Raw genomic sequence first — 19,328 nt, 5'->3', positions numbered from 1 at the left:
TCACACGTGTCCCACCTCTAACCTCACTTGCTTCTGTCACCCACATTTGAGTTGGTGACCCCTTCTCCCCAGGCCTTGGGAGCACATGAAATCCTGGGAAGGATAACATCCTGGTGTCATCTGTCTTGTCCCTAAATACATTTTGGAGACTATTTGATTGAAGCCAGTGCATCTCTCACAGATTCACCAGGCTGGGGTTAACCACACGGCCATCACCAGGCAATTAAATAAACAGACTCGTCGAGGGGTTTGCTCTGATGTGGTTGTCTGAGCTCCATCAGAAGCTATTCATTTTCCTGAGGGCTCTGGCAGGACATCCTTTGGTAGCAAGCGACTGGAAGAAAACTCAAAGTGGCGCGAGACGGTGCTTCACACGTGTCAGGGTCATCATCTGGTTCCATTCCCACCCCGCCCTGTATGGTGCTCTGGAGAAGAAGGAGTAGCTCTACCCTAAACGGAGATCATGCGGCTTGTCCCGGGGCAGATGCTGTGCACAAAATCACACTGTCACCATTATTAGATCAGTAAAGGCAGGAGGAACCTGAAACTGGGCCTCTGGGGACTTGCAAATTCAAATCCCCAGAGGGGCCAGGAGTGAAACACGAATCAATCAGGTTAGATGCTGAACAAAAGGGAGTGGCGGGGTCTGTGGCCGCTGGAAAGCACATTCCCTGCTGAGGCAATCTGTTTCCAAAGGTTTAGACACCTGTGTTTACCTGTGGGTGGTCGTCAGCAGTGTCTCCTGGGGGATCAGTTACCTTGTCTGAGGCTGAGCACTGTGTCGGGGGGACTAGTTTCAGCAGCTCGGGATGTTTCCGGTGGATTTGGGAAGAGGGCGTGCCCCAGGGCAAAGAGCCCAAAGTGAGCCCCACAGTCTAGGCTTGATGGCCACTCTGAGCTGCCTCCAACCAAGTGGCCCTGCCCCTCACAGACCTTCTAGATCCAGCAGCCTGGGGACTGCTGTCTTCCAAGAGCTTTCCCCTTTGTCTATAGCTGGCCAGTGCTCAGTGAGGGCAGGGGCTGTGTGGGGAGGGAAGGGAAGCTCCGGGGCCAGCTCACAATTCTCCCTGCGCCAGCTCTTACCTGGGTTTCACTCTAGAGGACCTGATCCCACTCTCCCACCTGCAGGACACACTGAGGTTGCTGTTCTAGGTCCTGTAACAGTGTGGGGCTGGGGGAGAGGCAATGGCTCACCTGAGGCCATGGGGCTCACTGGACTCTGCCCCCTTGGCCACAACCAACAGGCCCTCTCCACCCTAGCAGCCACCTCCCCTCTGCATCAGGCAGAAATGCCCTCTCTTCCTGCAGTCTCATTTTAATTCTCCACACCCAAAGTCTTCTCCACTCCTGCACTGGGTCCCCAGCTAGGCTGAGGGTGGAGCTGGTGGCCCAGGCTGGTTCATTACCATCCTTACCTGACTGGTTACCTTACAGTGTCTACAGTTGGTTCCCTTAGATTTTTTTTTAGCTATTACTGAAAAAAAAGTGCACTCTTGGAAATTTAAATACATATATCTCAGCTTACTGCAACCTCCACCTCCTGAGTTCAAGCAATCCTCCCTGCCTCAGCCTCCCAAGTAGCTGGGATTACAGGCGCCTGCTATCATGCCTGGCTAATTTTTGTATTTTTAGTAGAGATGGGGTTTCACCATGTTGGCCAGGCTGGTCTTGAACTCCTGACCTGAGGTGATCTGCCCGCCTCGGCCTCCCAAAGTGCTGGGATTACACGCATGAGGCACTGTGCCTGGCCAATTTTAAAATATATTTTTAAGAATGCTGATATCAAGTATCTTCATAGATTGAGAAAACCACAGTTTGGTGCTTATATATGACTTTTAAAAACTCTCAGGAAACTAAGAGTAGACAGAAAGTTTCTTAACTTCATAATTGCTACACCCCAAAAGCCGACTGCACCAAGAATCCTGGCGAAGATGAATCTTCTCACTGTGAGCCCACATGGGCCCCACTACTAAGGGGGTGGACTAAGGCTCTGAGGGATGAAAGTGGCAGAAGACCCGTCAGGATCAGAAGGGAAAAGATAGGGCCTCATTCCTTGCAGATGATAACATCACATAAACCCATGGAATCAGCAGGCAAGATAACAGAACTAGCAGGGAGCTTAGGCAAGGCTGCTGGATATGTGGCCAACTCACCGGCCCACCAGCTTCTCTTTACACCCGTGACACAGCCAACTAAAACTAAGTCATGGTGTTTTCTGGACGGTGAACGCAGAGAGTGCTGGGAGGCAGCATGCCCGGGAGGAGAAGCAGGAGCTTCACCACGCCCAGCCCCGCCCTTGCTGTATTAGGCTGTTCTCTCTATTATTCATTCAATTTGGGCACTGGAAAGTACAGACATCTGGCTTCATAGTCTTGTAAGAGAATCAGTACTTACCATACTATTGCTCTTTCAAGTTTTGAAGTAACAGGAGAATTTCCCCTGGACTACAGATTTACACAGCTCTCTTCAAACAATCCACAAACAGCTGGTCTAAACCCTCCACTGGTCTTATCGATGATGAGACACTGGCAGCCAAATAAATTATCTTTACTGAAAAATGGAGTAAAGAAACATATATGGCAAATGTACCACAAAAATGTTAATATTTCAAAAATACTGTGAAGTGCTTCATAGGAACAAGTTATTAATGAAAAGTGACCAATACATTGAAAAAAAGGTCACCATTTGCAATGCTCGAAAACCTAAAACGCACCCTGGAATCCACATAACAAAGAACGCACGTGGTTTTTCTACAAAAATTGAACATTCCAGTAGAGAACATAGCTGGAGTCGTAGGCCGGGCGCGGTGGCTCACGCCTGTAATTCAAACACTTTGGGAGGCCGAGGCGGGCAGATCACGAGGTCAGGAGATTGAGACCATCCTGGCTAACACAGTGAAACCCCGTCTCTACTAAAAATACAAAAAATTAGCCGGGCGTGGTGGCAGGTGCCTATAGTCCCGGCTACTCGGGAGGCTGAGGCAGGAGAATGGCTGGAACCCGAGAGGCGGAGCTTGCAGTGAGCCGAGATCGTGCCACTGCACTCCAGCCAGGGCAACAGAACGAGACTCAGTCTCAAAAAAAAAAAAAAAAAAGAACACAGCTTGAGTCATTATTAAACGAAGAGATACTTTAATGTTACAGGTTCCCAACAGTACCAGATTCACCTATGCATTAAATGTAATCCTGATCAAAATTCCAGCTGGAATTGTCGAGGAGATGAATAAACTCACTGTGAATTTATGTGGAAGGATCAAGGTGTAAGACAAATGCTATAATCTGAATGTTTGTGTTCCCCCAGAATTCACATGCTACCACCTAGTCCCCGCTGTGATGGGATTAGGAAGTGGGGCTAGTAGAAACTAACCCAGTAGAAAAATGGGAAAGGAGAGGTATTTGGGAGGTGATGAGGTCATGAGGGTGCTGCCCTCCCGAATGGGACGAGTGCCCTTATACAAGAGGCCCAGAGAGCTGCCTTGCCTCCTCCACCACGTGGGGACACAGTGAGGAGGGCTATGAGGACGTGGCCTCACCAGACACTGAAACTGCCGGCACCTTGGCCAGGCGCAGTGACTCACTCCTGTAATCCCAGCACTTTGGGAGGCTGAGGCGAGCAGATCACCTGAGATCTGGAGTTCGAGACCAGCCTGCCAACATGGTAAAACCCCATCTCTACTAAAAATACAAAAATTAGCCAGGTGTGATGGCACATGCTTGTAATCCCAGCTACTTGGGAGGCTGAGGCAGGAGAATTGCATGAACCTGGGAGGCAGAGCTTGCAGTGAGCCGAAATCGCGCCACTGCACTCCAGCCTGGGTGACAAAGCAAGACTCTGAAAAAAAAAAAAAAAGTAAAATAAAATAAAATAAAAAGAAACTGCCAGCACCTTGATCTCGGACTTGCCAGCCTCCAGAACTATGAGCAACAATTTTTTGCTGTAGGCTAGGCACAGTTGCTTATATCTGCAATCCCAGAACTTTGGAAGGCCAAGGCAGGCGGATCACTCGAGCCCAGGGGTTGGATACTAGCCTGGGCAACATGGCGAAACCGTGTCTCTACAAAAAAAAAAAAAAAATTAAAAAATTAAAAAATTAGCCAGGCATGATGGGACGTGCTTGTAGTCCCAGCTACTTAAGAGGTTGAGGTGGGAGAATCGCTTGAGCCCAGGACGCCAAGATTGCAGTGAGCAAAGATCGTGCCACTGCACTCCAGCCTGGGCCACAGAGTGAGACTGTCTCAAAAAAAAAAAAAGAAAGAAAAAAAGAAAAATTTCTGTTGTTTATTAGCTAACCTGTTTATGGTACTTTTTAAATAGCAGCTCAAATGGCCTAACACAAAAAACTAAGTCAATTTTGAACCACAGAGCAGAGAAGGGGCAGGGCAACTCCTGAGCAGGCGCCATTGTGTGTTGCAGAGGCCGTGGTCCTGGGAACAGCATAGGCCAGGCGTCAGGACCATGGAACAGAGAGATCAAAACAGACCTGGGGTAGACAGGAACTCGATAAAGGTGGCAGCACAAAGGGAAAGGGCAAGGCTGGTTGTTTAGTGAATGAAGCTGGGAAAACTGGCTCCCTTTGAAGCCGGACTTCCACTTCACCCCAGTATTCCAGGTGGTCCCCAGCTGGATTAAAGGCCTACGGATGGAAGGGAAAGCTTCAGAGCTGATCAGTGAATACTCAGGATAACATCTTTGTGACCTATAGCGGGGGAAAGTTTTCTTAAGCAAAACTCCCCACATGCAAACCTGGGCTGAAAAAAGAATGGATTTGGCTAAATCAAAATCAAGGCTATCTGTTTAGTAAAGAACACCACAGCCCGGCCGGGCGCGGTGGCTCACGCCTGTAATTCCAGCACTTTGGGAGGCTGAGGCGGGCGGATCATGAGGTCGGGAGATCGAGACCGTCCTGGCTAACATGGGGAAACCCTGTCTCTAGTAAAAATACAAAAAATTAATCCGGGCGTGGTGGTGGGCGCCTGTAGTCCCAGCTACTCGGGAGGCTGAGGCAGGAGAATGGCGTGAACCCGGGAGGCGGAGCTTGCAGTGACCTGAGATCGCACGCTGCACTCCAGCCTGGGCGACAGAGTGAGACTCCATCTCAAAAAAAAAAAAAAAAGAACACCACAGCCCCACGCCAACAGAAGGCAGACTGGGAGGAGATGCTTGTGACGCCTACAAATGCTAAGGGATTACTATTAGAATATAGAAAGAGCTCCTGCTGATCAATACCAAGAGACGGGCAACTCAGTAGAGAAATGAGAAAGGAGAGGATGAGGTGGTTTTCAGAAATGGATGCCCAAATGGCTAGCAAGTGTTCGAAGAGACTCAAACACATCCGTGGGCAAAGAAATGCAAATTAAAGCAACAGTGAGATGCCACTGTCCATCCAGCAGGGTGGTGATGTTGAGAAGGTGGGTGGTTCCAAATAGTAACGTGGATGTGTGCCAGAACATCAGGCACAACTGACGGGAACGTTCCTCTGGGCAATTGGGCACCATTTAGCAAGACTGAGTGTGCATGCGCCCTCTGACCCAGCAATGCTAGAGAGGTGATCACAGGATGCCTGAGGGAGTGTGCAGAGCTATGCTTTGTATGTGTGGCATTGATTCTGAGGGCAGGGCTGGAGATGGACTCTGGGTTCACTGCCAGGTTCAAGGTGGATGCAAGCTGCGGTGTACTATGAAATACACAGGGGAGGAAACACTGAATCTGCTGTTCTATAGTTCTACAGACAGAGCTCAAAAGCAACGATACAACAGAAAAGTGAAATGGAAGAGAGTCAGAGCACGACATTGTTTGTGCAAGTCAACAACACGCACGCAGTGGTGCTCCGAGTACTTCACAGGGAAGCATGCGTCTTTAAGGAGACCAGACTTAGAGTAAGCACCTTTAGAGGTCATGGGAGGGATGATATGAGAAGACGGGAAAAATTAAGTAGAAAAAAAGAAGTCAGAGGTGTCTGTGAACACACATCTGTGTTAACAAAAGCTGTGATCCGAGGAGTATGGTTTCAGCACAAATCTCTGCAGCAGAGGTCCAAAGAAATCCATGAATCATCAAGCAAGTTCCAGATTTGCAACTGAATTTACAAGGTCATTTCTTTCTATATGGGGAAGCCATTAAATAAATGTAGATGGGAAAACTGGATTTTAATCTAGAGAAAAAGAAATTTTAATCCATATCATATCCCAGACATCACGATGAATTCCTGATGATTTAAAAGGTAATTTTAAAAATTACAAGGAAAAGTAGTTGCATGTCATCTCAACTCTGGAAGAAAGAGAACCATAGGCCACAGTTGTGAGGCCGAGACACAGCTGTTGAAAATGCTCGGCAGTGTCAGAAGCTACGCGTGGAGCAGTGAGTCGCGTGGAGCAGTGAGCCGCGTGGAGCAGTGAGTCGCGTGGAGCACTCAGCCATGTGGAGCAGTGAGTCTCGTGGAGCACTCAGCCACGTGGAGCAGTGAGTCTCGTGCAGCACTGAGCCGCGTGGAGCACTGAGCCGCGTGGAGCACTCAGCCATGTGGAGCAGTGAGCCTTGTGAAGGCTGTTCTTGCTATTGCTCATGGCCATCGCCTACTATTTCCACTTAACAGATGAGGCTCTTGGCCCTTGGTGAGGGAGGTAAGGACCTGGCCTGAAATCCTGGAGCAGCATGTGAACTGGTCTTGAGCCCAGGCCAGCAGTCTCAGAGCCTGTGCCTTGGCCCAGCCATGTGGCAGGGGCCCGGGTAAGAGCCACATAAAGGAATGGGACATAATCAAGAGAAAAGCAGCCACAGATGGGAAATAACAAGCTCCATAAAGATGATGGGGAGAACTAATATCAGTGTGAGGGCTTGTTAGGACTCGAATTCTCCCGAATAAAGTGTTCAAAGCAAGTGAAAACAGAGGTTGTTTAAAAGGAAACAAACCAAGCCAGGTGCAGTGGCTTACTCCTGTAATCCCAGCACTTTGGGAAGCCAAGGCAGGTGGATCACTTCAGGCCAGGAGTTCGAGACCAGCCTGGCCAACATGGAGAAACCCTGTCTCTACTAAAACTACAAAAAGTTGGCTGGGCGTGGTGGTGTGCACCTGTAATCCCAGCTACTTGGGAGGCTGAGGCTGGAGAATCGCTTGAGCCTGGGAGGCGGAGGTTGCAGTGAGCGGAGATTGTGCCACTGCACTCCAGCCTGGGTAACAGACCAGGACTCCATCTCAAAAATAAATAAATAAATAAAAATAAAAATAAAAAAAGGAAACACACCAAAAACCAGTGTCTAAAGAAGTGTTTCAGTTTGTAAGTCCTTAAAGATATGGCAACCAATAAGGCGTTATCACCTTGCACAGTTATTAAGTTATCAAAAAAAAAAAAAGATGCATGTTGTAAAATGCCACATTGGCAGAAGTATGAGGGACAGGCACATTCACGTACAGCGGGTGGGAGCCAAATGCATGTTCATCTGGACGGGTGAGCAAACGCCCCCCCGCAATGAATCGAAACACAACGGCTTTTCTCCCACCGGCCCCTTAAATGCATTTGGTTGGAGAAGGTGTTGCCCTCCCCATGTGAAAACTGGCCTGGTCTCAGCACCTTTCAGCTCATGCTCAAGCAAGAGGTTCTCACAGACACCATTCAGAAATAAGGACGTCCAGCTCATGAGAACGGCCTACACTCCAAATGTGCCTGCATGTCCCCTCATGGTGGGGCCGCCTTACTGTTTCTCCATCTGGAGCCCCACCTTGCCACCAGGTGGGCCGGCTTCCTGTCGGCCTGGCGGGTATGGGAAGCTGCCTCTCTCAAGGGGCCGCTCCATGGTTCCTCGAAGGTTTCCTGCTGGAGTTTTTCACCTGCAGATGCCGTGATGGGGCTGATGTGTTTCCTCTTCTTCAGGCCCCTCTGGTGTCCTCAGCCTCAGTTTTCTTCTGCAAGTTCATTGCATGCAGCCCCCTCGTGGAGTCCTCATATCTGCTTAGGCTGAGGGCCCCAGGAGCATCCTACATCCTCAGCCCCACGGGACTCCGGGAGGCAGGCAGGCCGCGCACAGTGCCGCAGTTGATTCACAGTCTGCTCCCACGGCGACGACTCGGCTGACACTGGCTCCCATGTGATCAGCAGACCCCAGCCCTCAGTGTACAGGGCCTCTGAGTGACACCATGGAAGCGCTCTCAGGAGGCTAGAGGTGAGGGAGGTCGCACCTCACGCTTCCTCCTTGGAAGGGGAGCATGCACAGCATAGCAAAGGCTCTCTCCAAATAAATGCACCCTAAACTCTTTTCTTCAGAATCCTCTTGTACACCTTGATATTCTCCTGGATGCTGAGGGGCTCAGTAGGAATTGGCATGCAGGCTGAACTTTGACGTGCTCACCTACTTTTCAATTTCACATTGCTTGCATCCTGGAGTGACCATTCACTCAGCTTATGTGTTTGAGCATTGGTGTGTGTTGGGCATTGGTGTGCGTTGGGCATTGGTGTGTGCTGGGCATTGGTGTGCGTTTGGGCATTGGTGTGTGTTGGGCATACAACACCAAGGTTCTGAGTATGCAAGGGTGCCTGAAAATAGTCTCTTTCTTGAGAATTCAAGGATGCAGATGGGACAGGGGTGGGCAAAGAAGACATCTGCCTTATGACCGCAAGGCGAGCTTCCTGGAATAGGTGCCACTGACTGCACGTGTGCCATGCTCAAGCCGAGGTGAGGCAGCAGCGTCCACTATGCATCTGCATTGTAAGCAACAGAAATCCACGTAAACTGGCTTCACCTCTAAAGGGAATTGATGGGCTCCTGTTCCTGACAAGTCCAGAGGTCATCTTGCTGGCTGCAGGTGAGGCTTGATCCAGCCATTCAAATGATGTCACCAAGAACCAGCTGCAGTCCTCCTCTGGGATTCTCTTGGTTCTGCTACTGGATTCATCCTTAGCCTGGTGCCCACCACAGAGGCAAGTAACTGCGCCATTGCAGCCATCCACCTTCACCCAGCTGCCTCCTGGAGAAGAGTGTTTTGTGTTCCCAAGGCACCCACGGGAGAGAGGGACTTTCCATCCCAGGAACTCCGAGGCTCACTCTGATTAGACCCACTAAAGTTGCTTGAGAAATCCCTGGGACCAGTGACATGCAATGCGATAACTGTCTTAAGTCCTAGTCTATGTCAGGAATCTAGGACAAGGATTGAATGTCCTGAATTTGACCACGAGTGTTCCTTGTTCTGGGAAAGAATGCACCAGACCCTGCATGATTGTTTGGGAAAATATGCACATCCACTTAGGAGGCAGTGGCAGCATGCAGAGGGGGCAGCAGAACAAGAACCAGGATGCAGGACAAGGACGGGGGCGGGGGGCACGAGATGGACACCGGATGCTCCCCAATCAAAGCTGCTCTGTGGGTTTCAGAAATGGGAACACCCGTCCCTTCAAGCATCCATAGTGTGTGAACTGTAGGACTGTAGGGTGAAGGTCATCCCAGAGCTCAGCATTGAAACCAGCCGGAAATTGTTCAGTTGGGGGAACTAGGGGAAAGGGAACAGTGGTGTGGAGGGCAGAGGCAGTGGTGGGAAGCCTGTGTGTGGCCGACGCATGCTTTTACGCTGTCATCACGGCCTTGCTTTCTATAGCAGGGATCTGAGAAGCAGGCAGGCAGCTGCTCTGCCCGAGACTGTCAGGAGTTGGTGGATGTGAATCCATGTCTGAAGCCCAAGCTCTCACTACTCTGCTGTCTCCCTGAGGGGTGCATGAAGGCCCCAGCCCAGCCAGTGACACAGAGGTTGGGAAGACCAGGGCGTGAAGCTTCTGTGCTTGGAGAACAGGAGGGCTTGTGGAGCTGTGGTTGATGGCGTGTCCAGGAAGCCTGGCCAGGGTGAGTAACAGGCCTTGTATGTCAGGCTAAGAAAGTTGCCCTTGACAGTGCGGGATGTGGGGAGCCATGGGCAGGTTTTCAGCAAGGACATAAAGAGATCAATTCCAGGCTTTGGAGAGAGCACCAGGGTGCTGGGTGCAGGGATAGGAGTTGGGGTGGGTACTGAGGGTGCCAGCCATGAGGACAATGGTGGCACCTGGAAGCATGCATCCCCAGGCTGTGGTGAGCAGCCCCGGGCGCCAGGCACTGGGCTGGGCACTGAATCCCCCTTACCACACTGACCTGCACTACTGAGCTATGGAGCTGGGGGTTGTCACACCGTCCAACGAATAGGGAAATGCAGGCTCCAGGTTCTGAGAGCAGGTGGAGTAAAGCACATCCACTGGAGGTGGCCCTGTGTGCCTGGCTCTGCGTCAGGCACTCGGGCCATAGAGCCTCACCCAGTCTCAGAGGACACCATGGCCTGTCTGCTGCTGCCCCTGGTGCTTCCTGGCATCACTGGCTGGAAAGGAGGCTTTGGGGCCTCTGCACATTTTCACCACCACCCCCCATCCTTTAATACCTCTTTCCTCCTCCATGGCTGGGCCTGGAGGATCTTTGTTTCCAGCTGGGGTCTGGCAACAGCCTCACCACGATGGCATGGCGGTGGGCCCGGCCTCTACCCGCTGCGCCACAGCTCCTGGCTCCTGGCTCCAGGTCATCTCTGCCCACAGCCAGTGTCTCTGGTGAGCCTGGGCAGGTGGGAGGCCGAAGCTGTGCCCCACTGGTTTGGATGCTGAGCTCTGGGGTGACCTGCACCCTGTAGTCCTACAGTTCACACGCTATGGATGCCTGAAGGGATGGGTGTCCCGTTTCTGAAACCCACAGAGCAGCCTTGATTGGGAGGCGTCCTGTGCCCATCTCGTGCCCCCCGTCCTTCTCCTGCGTCCAGGTTCTGGTTCTGCCGCCTCCTCCGCACGCTGCTCACCAGCCTGCTAAGTGGATGTGAATAAACAATCATGCAGGGTTTGGTGCATTCTTTCCTGGAACAAGGAAGACTTGTGGTCAAATTTAGGACATTCGATCCTTGTCTTGAATTCCTGACAAAAATCCTCCCAGGGTGACAGCTAAACCCTTAGGCTGGCTGAGTTCTGCGCCCCCATTTTTCCAGCCGCATTCGCAGCCCCTACACAGCTACACACCCCGGGCATCCAACACTGGCCCTCTCCCCACCAGGTCACGTGCTTTCACACCTGCCTGCCTTGGCACAGGTGCCCCACCAGAGCGGTGCCCTGCGGGGACTGAATGTGTCTGTGCTCCTCTGACTCTGCCGGCTGTTTCGGGCGCAGCAGCCTCCTCTAGGCACATCTCCCTTGCTCCCTGAGGGGCTTCTCTCTCAGTTATGTAAATGGCAGGAGACATTTTCCTGGTCCTGAGACAGGAGTGAGAAGATGGCTTTAAAACCTGCCTCACTGCTTGTGGATCTAGATGGTGCCTGGGGAGGAGTGGGCGGCTCTGGGTTAAATGTGTATAAAGACAGGGATGTTCTTCCTTCCAACGAGCCTGCTCTAGAAGGTCTCCCTGCCAGTGTCTCTGGATCTGGCCTGGTGGGTGCTGCCTCTGTGAGCAGCATTGCCCCTGCCTCCACCTGAGGGTCACCGTGGCTCCCTTATAGGGGTGACATGTGCTCCGGACTGCTTTGTGGATGGAGAGTGGGGCACAGGTCCATCGCCACCCACACTTTTTTTTTTTTGAGACAGAGTCTTGCTCTGTGGCCCAGGCTGGAGTGCAATGGCGCGATCTCAGCTCACAGCAACCTCCGTCTCCCAGGTTCACAAGCGATTCTCCTTCCTCAGCCTCCCAAGTAGCTGGGATTACAGGCATCCACCACCACGCCCGGCTAATTTTTTTTTTTTTTTTTTTGAGACAGAGTCTCGCTCTGTCACCCAGGCTGGAGTGCAGTGGCGCGATCTTGGCTCACTGCAAGCTCCACCTCCTGGGTTCACGCCATTCTCCTGCCTCAGCCTCCCGAGTAGCTGGGACTACAGGTGCCTGCGACCACGCCCGACTGATTTTTTTTTGTGTTTTTATTACAGACGGGGTTTCCCCGTGTTAGCCAAGATGGTCTCTATCTCCTGACCTCGTGATCTGCCCGCCTCGGCCTCCCAAAGTGCTGGGATTACAGGAGTGAGCCACTGCACCTGGCCATGCCTGGCTAATTTTTTATATTTTTAGTAGAGATGGGGTTTCACCATGTTGGCCAGGCTGGTCTTGAACTCCTGACCTCAGGTGATCCACCCACCTCAACCCCCACAAAGGGCTGGGATTACAGGTGTGAGCCACTGCACCCGGCCTGTCCACAATTCTGGTGGGACCTGGTGGTATAGACATGGCTGGTCTGGCTGGTAGCCACTCTCATGCAGTACAGCCCAGGAGGGGGCATTGGGCTGAGCTCCTCCCCCTTTCCCCTCCCCCAGCCGGACTCCTCCCTTTTTCCCCTCCTCTGGCTGGACTCCTCCCCTTCCCCCTCCCCCACTGAGATCCTTCCCCTTCCCCACCACCCCTGGCTGGGCTCCTCCTCCCCAGGGGCTGGAGTCCTCCCTCTTCCCCCTCCCCCAGTTGGACTCTTCCCCCTTCCCCCCTCCCCCAGTTGGACACTTCCCTCTCCCCCTCCCCTGAATGGACTCCTCCCCCTTCCCCCCTCCCCTGCTGAGCTCCTCCCCCTTTCCCCCTCTCCTGGCTGGACTCCTACCTCATTCCCCTCCCCCGCTGAGCTCCTCCCCCTTTTCTTCTCTCCCCCAGCTGGACTCCTCCCCCTTCTCCCATTCCCTGGCTGGGCTCCTCTTCCTTGGGACCCTCATAGCTTGATGAGAAGACAGTGCCCTCTTGGCCAGACCAGGACATTATTTGACAGTAGAGAAACTGGAGTGTAGACAAACACCATGGATGCTGTGTGGAAGAGTTGTTCCCAGCTGAAGATGTCCCTCCTCAGTGAAGCCCTGCCTGAGCGTCTCCGGTCCTTCTCAGCAGCCAGAGGCTTCTCAGCACTTCTGCGTTCCCATCTGGGTGGGAACTGCATGGCCTGTTTAAGCACAAGGAGGGGGAGTGTGGGGAAGGGGGAGCAGAGTGAGTGGGGAGGTCAGAAAGGCAGGCACTGGTTCATGTAGGGTGGTTGATACAGTTTGGATGTTTGTCCTCTCCAAATCTCATACTGAAATCTGACCCTCAATGCTGGAGGTGGGACCTGGTGGGAGGTGCTTGGGTGACATGGGCCAATCCCTCATGAATGGCCTGGTGCCCTCCCTGTGGTAATGAATTCCCATGAGATCTGATTGTTAGAAAGAGCCTAGGTAGCTCCTCTCTCTTGCTCCATCTGTCACTGTGGGACACCTCTGCTACCCTTCCCCTCCCACCAGGAGGGTAAGCTTCCTGAGGCCCTGACCCCAAGCAGATGCTGCTGCCATGCCTCCGGTACTGCCTGCAGAACTGTGGACCAAATAAACCTCTCTTCTTTATAAACGGCCCAGTCTCCGGCGTTCTTTTATGGCAACGCAAAACGTATAAGCACAATCTTGTGGAGAAACTTCCCTACCACGGCGGCCTTGGCAGTCGGTCCTGCTCCTGATGAGGTGATAGAGAACAGCACCTGAGATGATTAGAGGAGAGGGCCCTGACATCCTCTGTGCCCTCTGCCCTGGCATCCTCTGTGCCCTCTGCCCTGACATCCTGAGTCCTCTGCCCCGACGTCCTCTGTGCCCTCTGCCCCAACGTCCTCCGTGCCCTCTGCCCCGACGTCCTCTGAGTCCTCTGCCCTGACGTCCTGCGTGCTCTCTGCCCCAATGTCCTCTGAGTCCTCTGCCCCGACGTCCTCCGTGCCCTCTGCCCCGACGTCCTCTGTGCTCTCTGCCCCGATGTCCTCTGAGCTCTCTGCCCTGATGTCCTCTGAGTCCTCTGCCCCGACGTCCTCCGTGCCCTCTGTCCCGACGTCCTCTGTGCCTTCTGCCCTGACGTCCTCCAAGTCCTCTGCCCCAACGTCCTCCGTGCCCTCTGCCCTGACGTCCTCTGAGTCCTCTGCACCGACGTCCTCTGTGCCCTCTGCCCCAACGCCCTCTGAGTCCTCTGCCCTGACGTCCTCCTTGCTCTCTGCCCTGACGTACTCTGTGCTCTCTGCCCTGACGTCCTCCAAGTCCTCTGCCCTGACGTCCTCCAAGTCCTCTGCCCGGACGTCCTCCGTGCCCTCTGACCTGAAGTCGGGGCCGCCTGACTGGACCATGACTCTCCACCTATGCCTGGCTGCCGAACAGCGTGAGGGCACTTCTGAGGGGGCAGAGAGTCCCTTGATGGGCCTGCCGCAGCCCTGGGCCTGGTGTGTCTCCCTTTGTCCCTGCTGGCCTCATCCATCTGACTGCATGCCTTCTGTACCCTGTGTCCTGGCTCCCTGCCTCGGCCCCTCTCTTGCAGTGGGACAGGGCACACACCCTGGACCCCGACGCTGATTGGCTGGGTGCAGACCTCGTACCCCAACACCCACAGCCCTGCCCTGTTCCCAGCTCCCAGAACACACCCTGGTCTCCTTCCTAGGGATTGAGACTCAGAATATGCAGCGTCCTCGTGAGCCACCTAGATGTCCTACTCACCCAGGCCTGTGGGGCCCTGCTCTCAGGCACCCCTTGCCAGGGTGTCCTCCTGTGTGAAGGAGCCTGCCTGCTTGGGGTGTGGAGCCACCCCAGGCTCCAGCTTGTGAGCTGGTCCATGAAAATTTGGTGCCTTCCTGGAGAGAGAAGCCTGCCGGCTTGGTAAGTGGGCTCAATCATGTGTTCCCTGGGGAGCCCTCCAGAGTCTGTCTGAATTGGAGAGGGAGCTCAGGTTATGGGAACCCATCTTGGCGGCCTGGCAGAGCCGTGGGCGTTTGAATTAGGATTCTTGGCTGCAACTGTCAGAAGCTGGCTCAGACCAGCTGACGGGCTCTTAGAACCAAACTGTTGCTGCGTCCAAGGGGCCCCGGCAGTAGGCGCAGCATGTCCAGACCCTCTCTCGTCCACTTCTGGGGCCTGGCCCAGGCCAGCTTCTTCCCCTCTAGGCTCCCGACAGTGGCAGACCCTCGCTTCAGAGCCGCTCCTCCAAGAGGAAATGTGCCTCAAGCCTTAGGTCCAGTCGGAAAGCACTGGGGAAGGATGCTGATTGGTCCGGCTTGGGCCGAACGTCCAATCCTGCCGCAGGAGGTGAGGCACTGCATTTGATTGACAGCTCTCCGCCCTACCACTGCGAGAGTGCGCAGCGTCCCAAAGAGGGCGAGGGGTGGTGTGGACAGCTCTGTCCCTTATCGAGGGGGAGCACTGAGGTTCCTGGCATGTGGTCGAGACCCTCCTCACAGCTGTTCAGGTGTGGGACGGGAAGACAAAGAAGACCACTGGTCTCACAATTTGGGACACAGCAGAAGCCCACGCTCCTGGTGCCGGCGTTGACATGTGCTAGCAATGACGGTGCCCCCATAATGGACAGGCCCTGTGCCAGGCGCTTTAAATGAACAATACCGAATAGGCCTGAACCTTCCCACAGGTATGACTATTCCTATTTTTAATAGGAGGAAACTGAGGCTCAGAGACTTAAAGTGACTGTAAGAGGCCAAAAAATTACCAGCCTGGCAGAGCTATAGCTGAGTCAGGGTCTGCCCAGCTCCAAAACCTGGGCCCTTCCTCCAAAAACGCTGCCACCCACAGACAAGGCCAAATAGAAAGAGAAGACTCTTCAAAATACAATGTGATGGAAACAAAACAACACACCGTAAATGTAAAACAAGAAAAATATGCCAGATGAAATGAGCCAACAGCTTCCTCAATCAATGGGCGAGATAAAACAGGAAAGGAGCTACAAAGATTTCTGAAAAGTTAAAAGTCGGGGAGTAAAGAGCACTAGCAACGGAGCAAACAAGGCCAAGGAAACTGAAATAGGGGACCTGAACATACGTGAGCCCAGAGCCTCGGGAAGGGCTGGAGCTGTGCGGTCTCCGGGAGTCTGGAGCTGGGCTCCGGCCTCCTGCTCCCCTTCCCCGGGGCCCAGGGCTGGCAGCCCCACACTGGCAAGGGGCTCAAGGAAGTTCTCACAGCCCGCCAGGATCCCTGGCTCTGGAATTGGGCACCCTGACCACACAAGCTGATGACACAGGGAGCGGATACACTGGGCTCTTGCCCAGGTCTGGGTTCAGTGCCCACTTCTGTAGCTGATCTAGGTGAATGAGGATGATGCTTTCCTGGTTCAACTACTTGGCATCTCCATGAAGGATCCTGCACATGCATCTGCTTACAGACTCCTGTCAAATCATAACTGCTCACATGGCAGACAGGCTCCCTGCAGTTTTCCCTGATCTAAGAGGATTAACTAGGAGGGCAGCAGACCTGGGGGCCTGTGGTGGTGGGTGGGGTCTTTAACCTGGATCCCATTCTCAGCCTCCCCCACAGGGGTCTGTCTCTGGCCCAGGAGGCCTGCCCAGCCCATACCAGCCTGGGTGGAGGCTGCAGGTTCAGTGGCTCCTGAGTCAAGCTGGGACTAGCTGGGCTGTGGTGTCTGGGAGCAGTATCTTCTCAGGAGCTTGCAGACAAGGGGATGTGCGTGTTGTTGCTGGGATACCGTAGCACTCTGGGAAGCTTGGCCCAGCTGCTCACTGGCAATGGCATTGATTTTTACCAAAGGGCTGTGCCATCTGTGTGGCCCTGCGGCTCCTGTGTCTGGGCAGGCCTGGGGCCTGGGGAGCAGGGGCTGGTTGCCAGGGGGCCAGAGAGCTCAGCTCTGAGCTGAGCATTGAAAGGGAGGCCTCTGCGGGGCTACAGTCCTTGGAGGGCAGCTCCTCTCTGGCCACCACTCCCTCACTCAGCACTCTCTCTGTGCCAGGCATTGGGAATGGTGCAATCAACTGCTATCCTCACGGGGCACAGCTTCTAGCTGGGGACACCAATGAGGCACACACAAGCCAGTGTAGGTGCTGGCGACCTTGGACAATTGTTGTCATGGCTCTGAGCCTTAGTTTTTTCATCTGTAACATGAGGATGGTTAAAATAGTTCCCACCTCTGAGGGATGTTGAGAGAAATGAGTGAGTTAAAGCATTTAGAATACTGCCTCACATGTGGTCAGTGCTGGACCAGTGTAATGGGGCGAATTGTGTTCCCCTACAATTCAGCGGTTGAAGTCCTACCACCAGTAGCTCTGAGTGTGCATAGATTAGGAGATAGGAACTTACGAAGTCATTAAATTCAAATGAGGTTACTCATCCAATATGACTGATGTCTTTATAAGAAGAGGAGTTTAGGACACAGACACACAGGGACAACCATGTGTGGAAGCTAGGGGAAGGCGGCCACCTGCAAGCCAAGGAGAGAGGGCTTGCAAGAAACCAACTCTGCCAACACCTTGAACTCGGACTTGCAGCCTCCAGGACTGCTAGACAATGGTTCTGCTGTTCTAGTCCCATAGTCCTTGCGGCTCTGTGATGGGAGCCCAGCTGATGAACACACACAGTCGTGCGGCTCTGTGACGGGAGCCCAGCTGATGAACACACACAGTCGTGTGGCTCTGTGTTGGGAGCCCAGCTGATGAACACAAGTGCTAGGCATCGTTGTTAGGTCCCGGGTGCTCAGCCCAAGGCAGCACAGCAGGCACTGGGAAGTCCGGGGTCTGAATCCTCAAGAGGAGATGACCAGACAGGGTGGCTGCAGAGAGAGCGAACGTCCTCCGGAGCAGAGGGCCCTCTGTGTCGAGGGAGTGGCATGGAGCTGCTCCCTGGGGAAGAGGGGGACTCTGCCGTTGCTGGGTGTGGATGGGGTCACCTGGAGGTGGCTCTGCACCTCGCGCTCCTTCCTGGCGTGGGAGTGGAGCCAGTGTGCGGGTGGCGTGTGGGACCCCCTCTCGGTGGGGGCCCGGCCTGCTCAGTGGTGCTGTTGTCTGTGCCATGTCCATCGTTCCCGAGGTTTTGCTGCTACACAACACAGCAGGCACATTCGTGTACAGGCCCTCTCTTGGGTACATGGTCGAGGTAGAAAAATGGGCATGTGGATTGTGAATTTTAATAGGTTTTTCTTTTAGACTCATCTTTTTAATGACATCTTAAAGCAGGGCCCGTGGGGCCTCTGGGCTCAGCAGCTGTGATGGAGGAGGCCCCCAAAGTCCCCCAAGGCAGGTTACTGCAGGAAGGCGCTATGAGGGGGCTCTGAGCTCCTTCTCCATTTCTTCCTATAATATCAATGGGGCTGGGATGGGGGTAGTGCTGAGGGTGAGGCAGACAGGAGACCACCTCTTCCAGCATATGGATAGAAGAAATGAGAAGGGGGCTGGGGGCTAAGAACTGGGAAAAGAGAAACTGCTAAGCTAGGGTCTGTCCCCCACACCTCTAAAATCTGCAGCCAGCACCTGGGAGCCCCACGTTCAAGCCCCCAGCTCTTCTCCCGTCCAGCTGGTGCCAAGCTGATAATCGCCACAGTGGATGGGTGAACCCATGCTGCTTTTTTTCAATGATCTTCCTGCATCAGACCTGGAGCTCCAAGGCAGTGAAATTGGGGATCTCCAGCTTGACCCTCATAGGAGGCCAGCTCCCATCTCCTTCTCCACACTGGGGAGGCTAAACAGAGCAGGCACACATCAGGTGCTCCTTGCCCCTGGGGAAGGCCGTGTGACTCCAGATGACTCCAAAGAAATGTAACCAGACAATTGTCCCTGATCTCTATTCCCTCAGCAGCGCTGGAGAGGACCCTTTTCCTGAGGCCGGGCACTGCTGTCCCAGTTGAGGAGGGACAAATGCCAGGGTTTCGTGTGCACATCCCTGGAGAGGGGTTGGGGCCCCACATCTCTGCCAGGGTTTACGGCCTCTCCTTCTCTTGAATGGATAGGATTGGGCTAGAAATCAGAGGGGACCTGGGGGTGCCACAGGATTGGGCTCCGGGCCTAGGCCTGGGAGAATGAGATGGGGCCTGCAGATGGGGGTTAAAGGCCCCTCCCCCAGCCCAGGAACGGCAAAGGAGAAGTTGGAGAAGAAGAGCAATAATTGAACGCCTGTTATGTATGGACGCTGTGCCAGGCACTGGCAGCCGAGATCTGGGTGAGACCCCTCATGCCCCATCTGGGGGGCACACAGGGGCTTCCTCAAGGTCTGCACAGAAGGTGATGGGCGCTGAGATAGCTGTGAGCCTAGTCCTTTGTGTGTGGGGACAGAGCGAAGGCGGCTTTGGGAGGGGCTGGCCCCTGCACTGGTCTTGCGGGAGTGAGAGGCAGGAGGCCGGCTCCGCTTTGGCTTTGGCTTGCTGCATCGAGGGCTTCCTCTCCAGCCTCAGCCTTAGAGTCACCTGGAGCTGTGAGCCCAGGATGCCAGGAGCTCAGGGCTGGATTCCATGTGATCCAGGTTCCCAAGGGCTCCTCTCACCCATATGCTGCGAGTGGATGTCGGGAAGTGGAGGGTGCGTGCTGGAGCTGTTGAGGATCACCCTGTCCTTGTGCCCTCACTGCATATCCTCCCCATGGCTGTGGGGTGGCACTGGAT

At 53.9% G+C, this 19,328-nt stretch overlaps 2 long non-coding RNA genes across 3 annotated transcripts, besides 1 other annotated feature; one reads left to right on the top strand and one right to left on the bottom strand.

The window, feature by feature from the left end:
* Nucleotides 860-1,361: an enhancer, noted in NCBI's record as "H3K4me1 hESC enhancer chr5:178814001-178814502 (GRCh37/hg19 assembly coordinates)". NCBI's record gives its function as "activates a minimal SCP1, AML or CMV promoter by ChIP-STARR-seq in primed H9 embryonic stem cells {active_cell/tissue: H9 hESC(primed)}" and the evidence as "EXISTENCE:reporter gene assay evidence [ECO:0000049][PMID:30033119]".
* On the top strand, nt 9,417-13,326 carry LOC107986494 (uncharacterized). Of its 2 annotated transcripts, none has more exons than XR_001743041.1 (2): nt 9,417-9,825; nt 12,607-13,326. It is a non-coding gene; the product is annotated as an uncharacterized LOC107986494 (long non-coding RNA). The 2 variants fall into 2 exon arrangements; XR_007059082.1 differs by lacking the exon at nt 12,607-13,326 and adding an exon at nt 10,433-10,831.
* On the bottom strand, nt 12,815-14,930 carry LOC124901149 (uncharacterized). The gene is made up of 3 exons (XR_007059083.1): nt 14,442-14,930; nt 13,247-13,450; nt 12,815-12,886 (listed from the first exon to the last, which is right to left on the bottom strand). It is a non-coding gene; the product is annotated as an uncharacterized LOC124901149 (long non-coding RNA).

This window comes from Homo sapiens, chromosome 5 (genome assembly GCF_000001405.40).
Source record: "Homo sapiens chromosome 5, GRCh38.p14 Primary Assembly".
In the NCBI taxonomy this organism is placed as follows: Eukaryota; Metazoa; Chordata; class Mammalia; order Primates; family Hominidae; genus Homo; species Homo sapiens.
The sequence above is the reverse complement of the archived record's forward strand: the minus strand, read 5'-3'. Positions and strand labels throughout refer to the sequence as shown.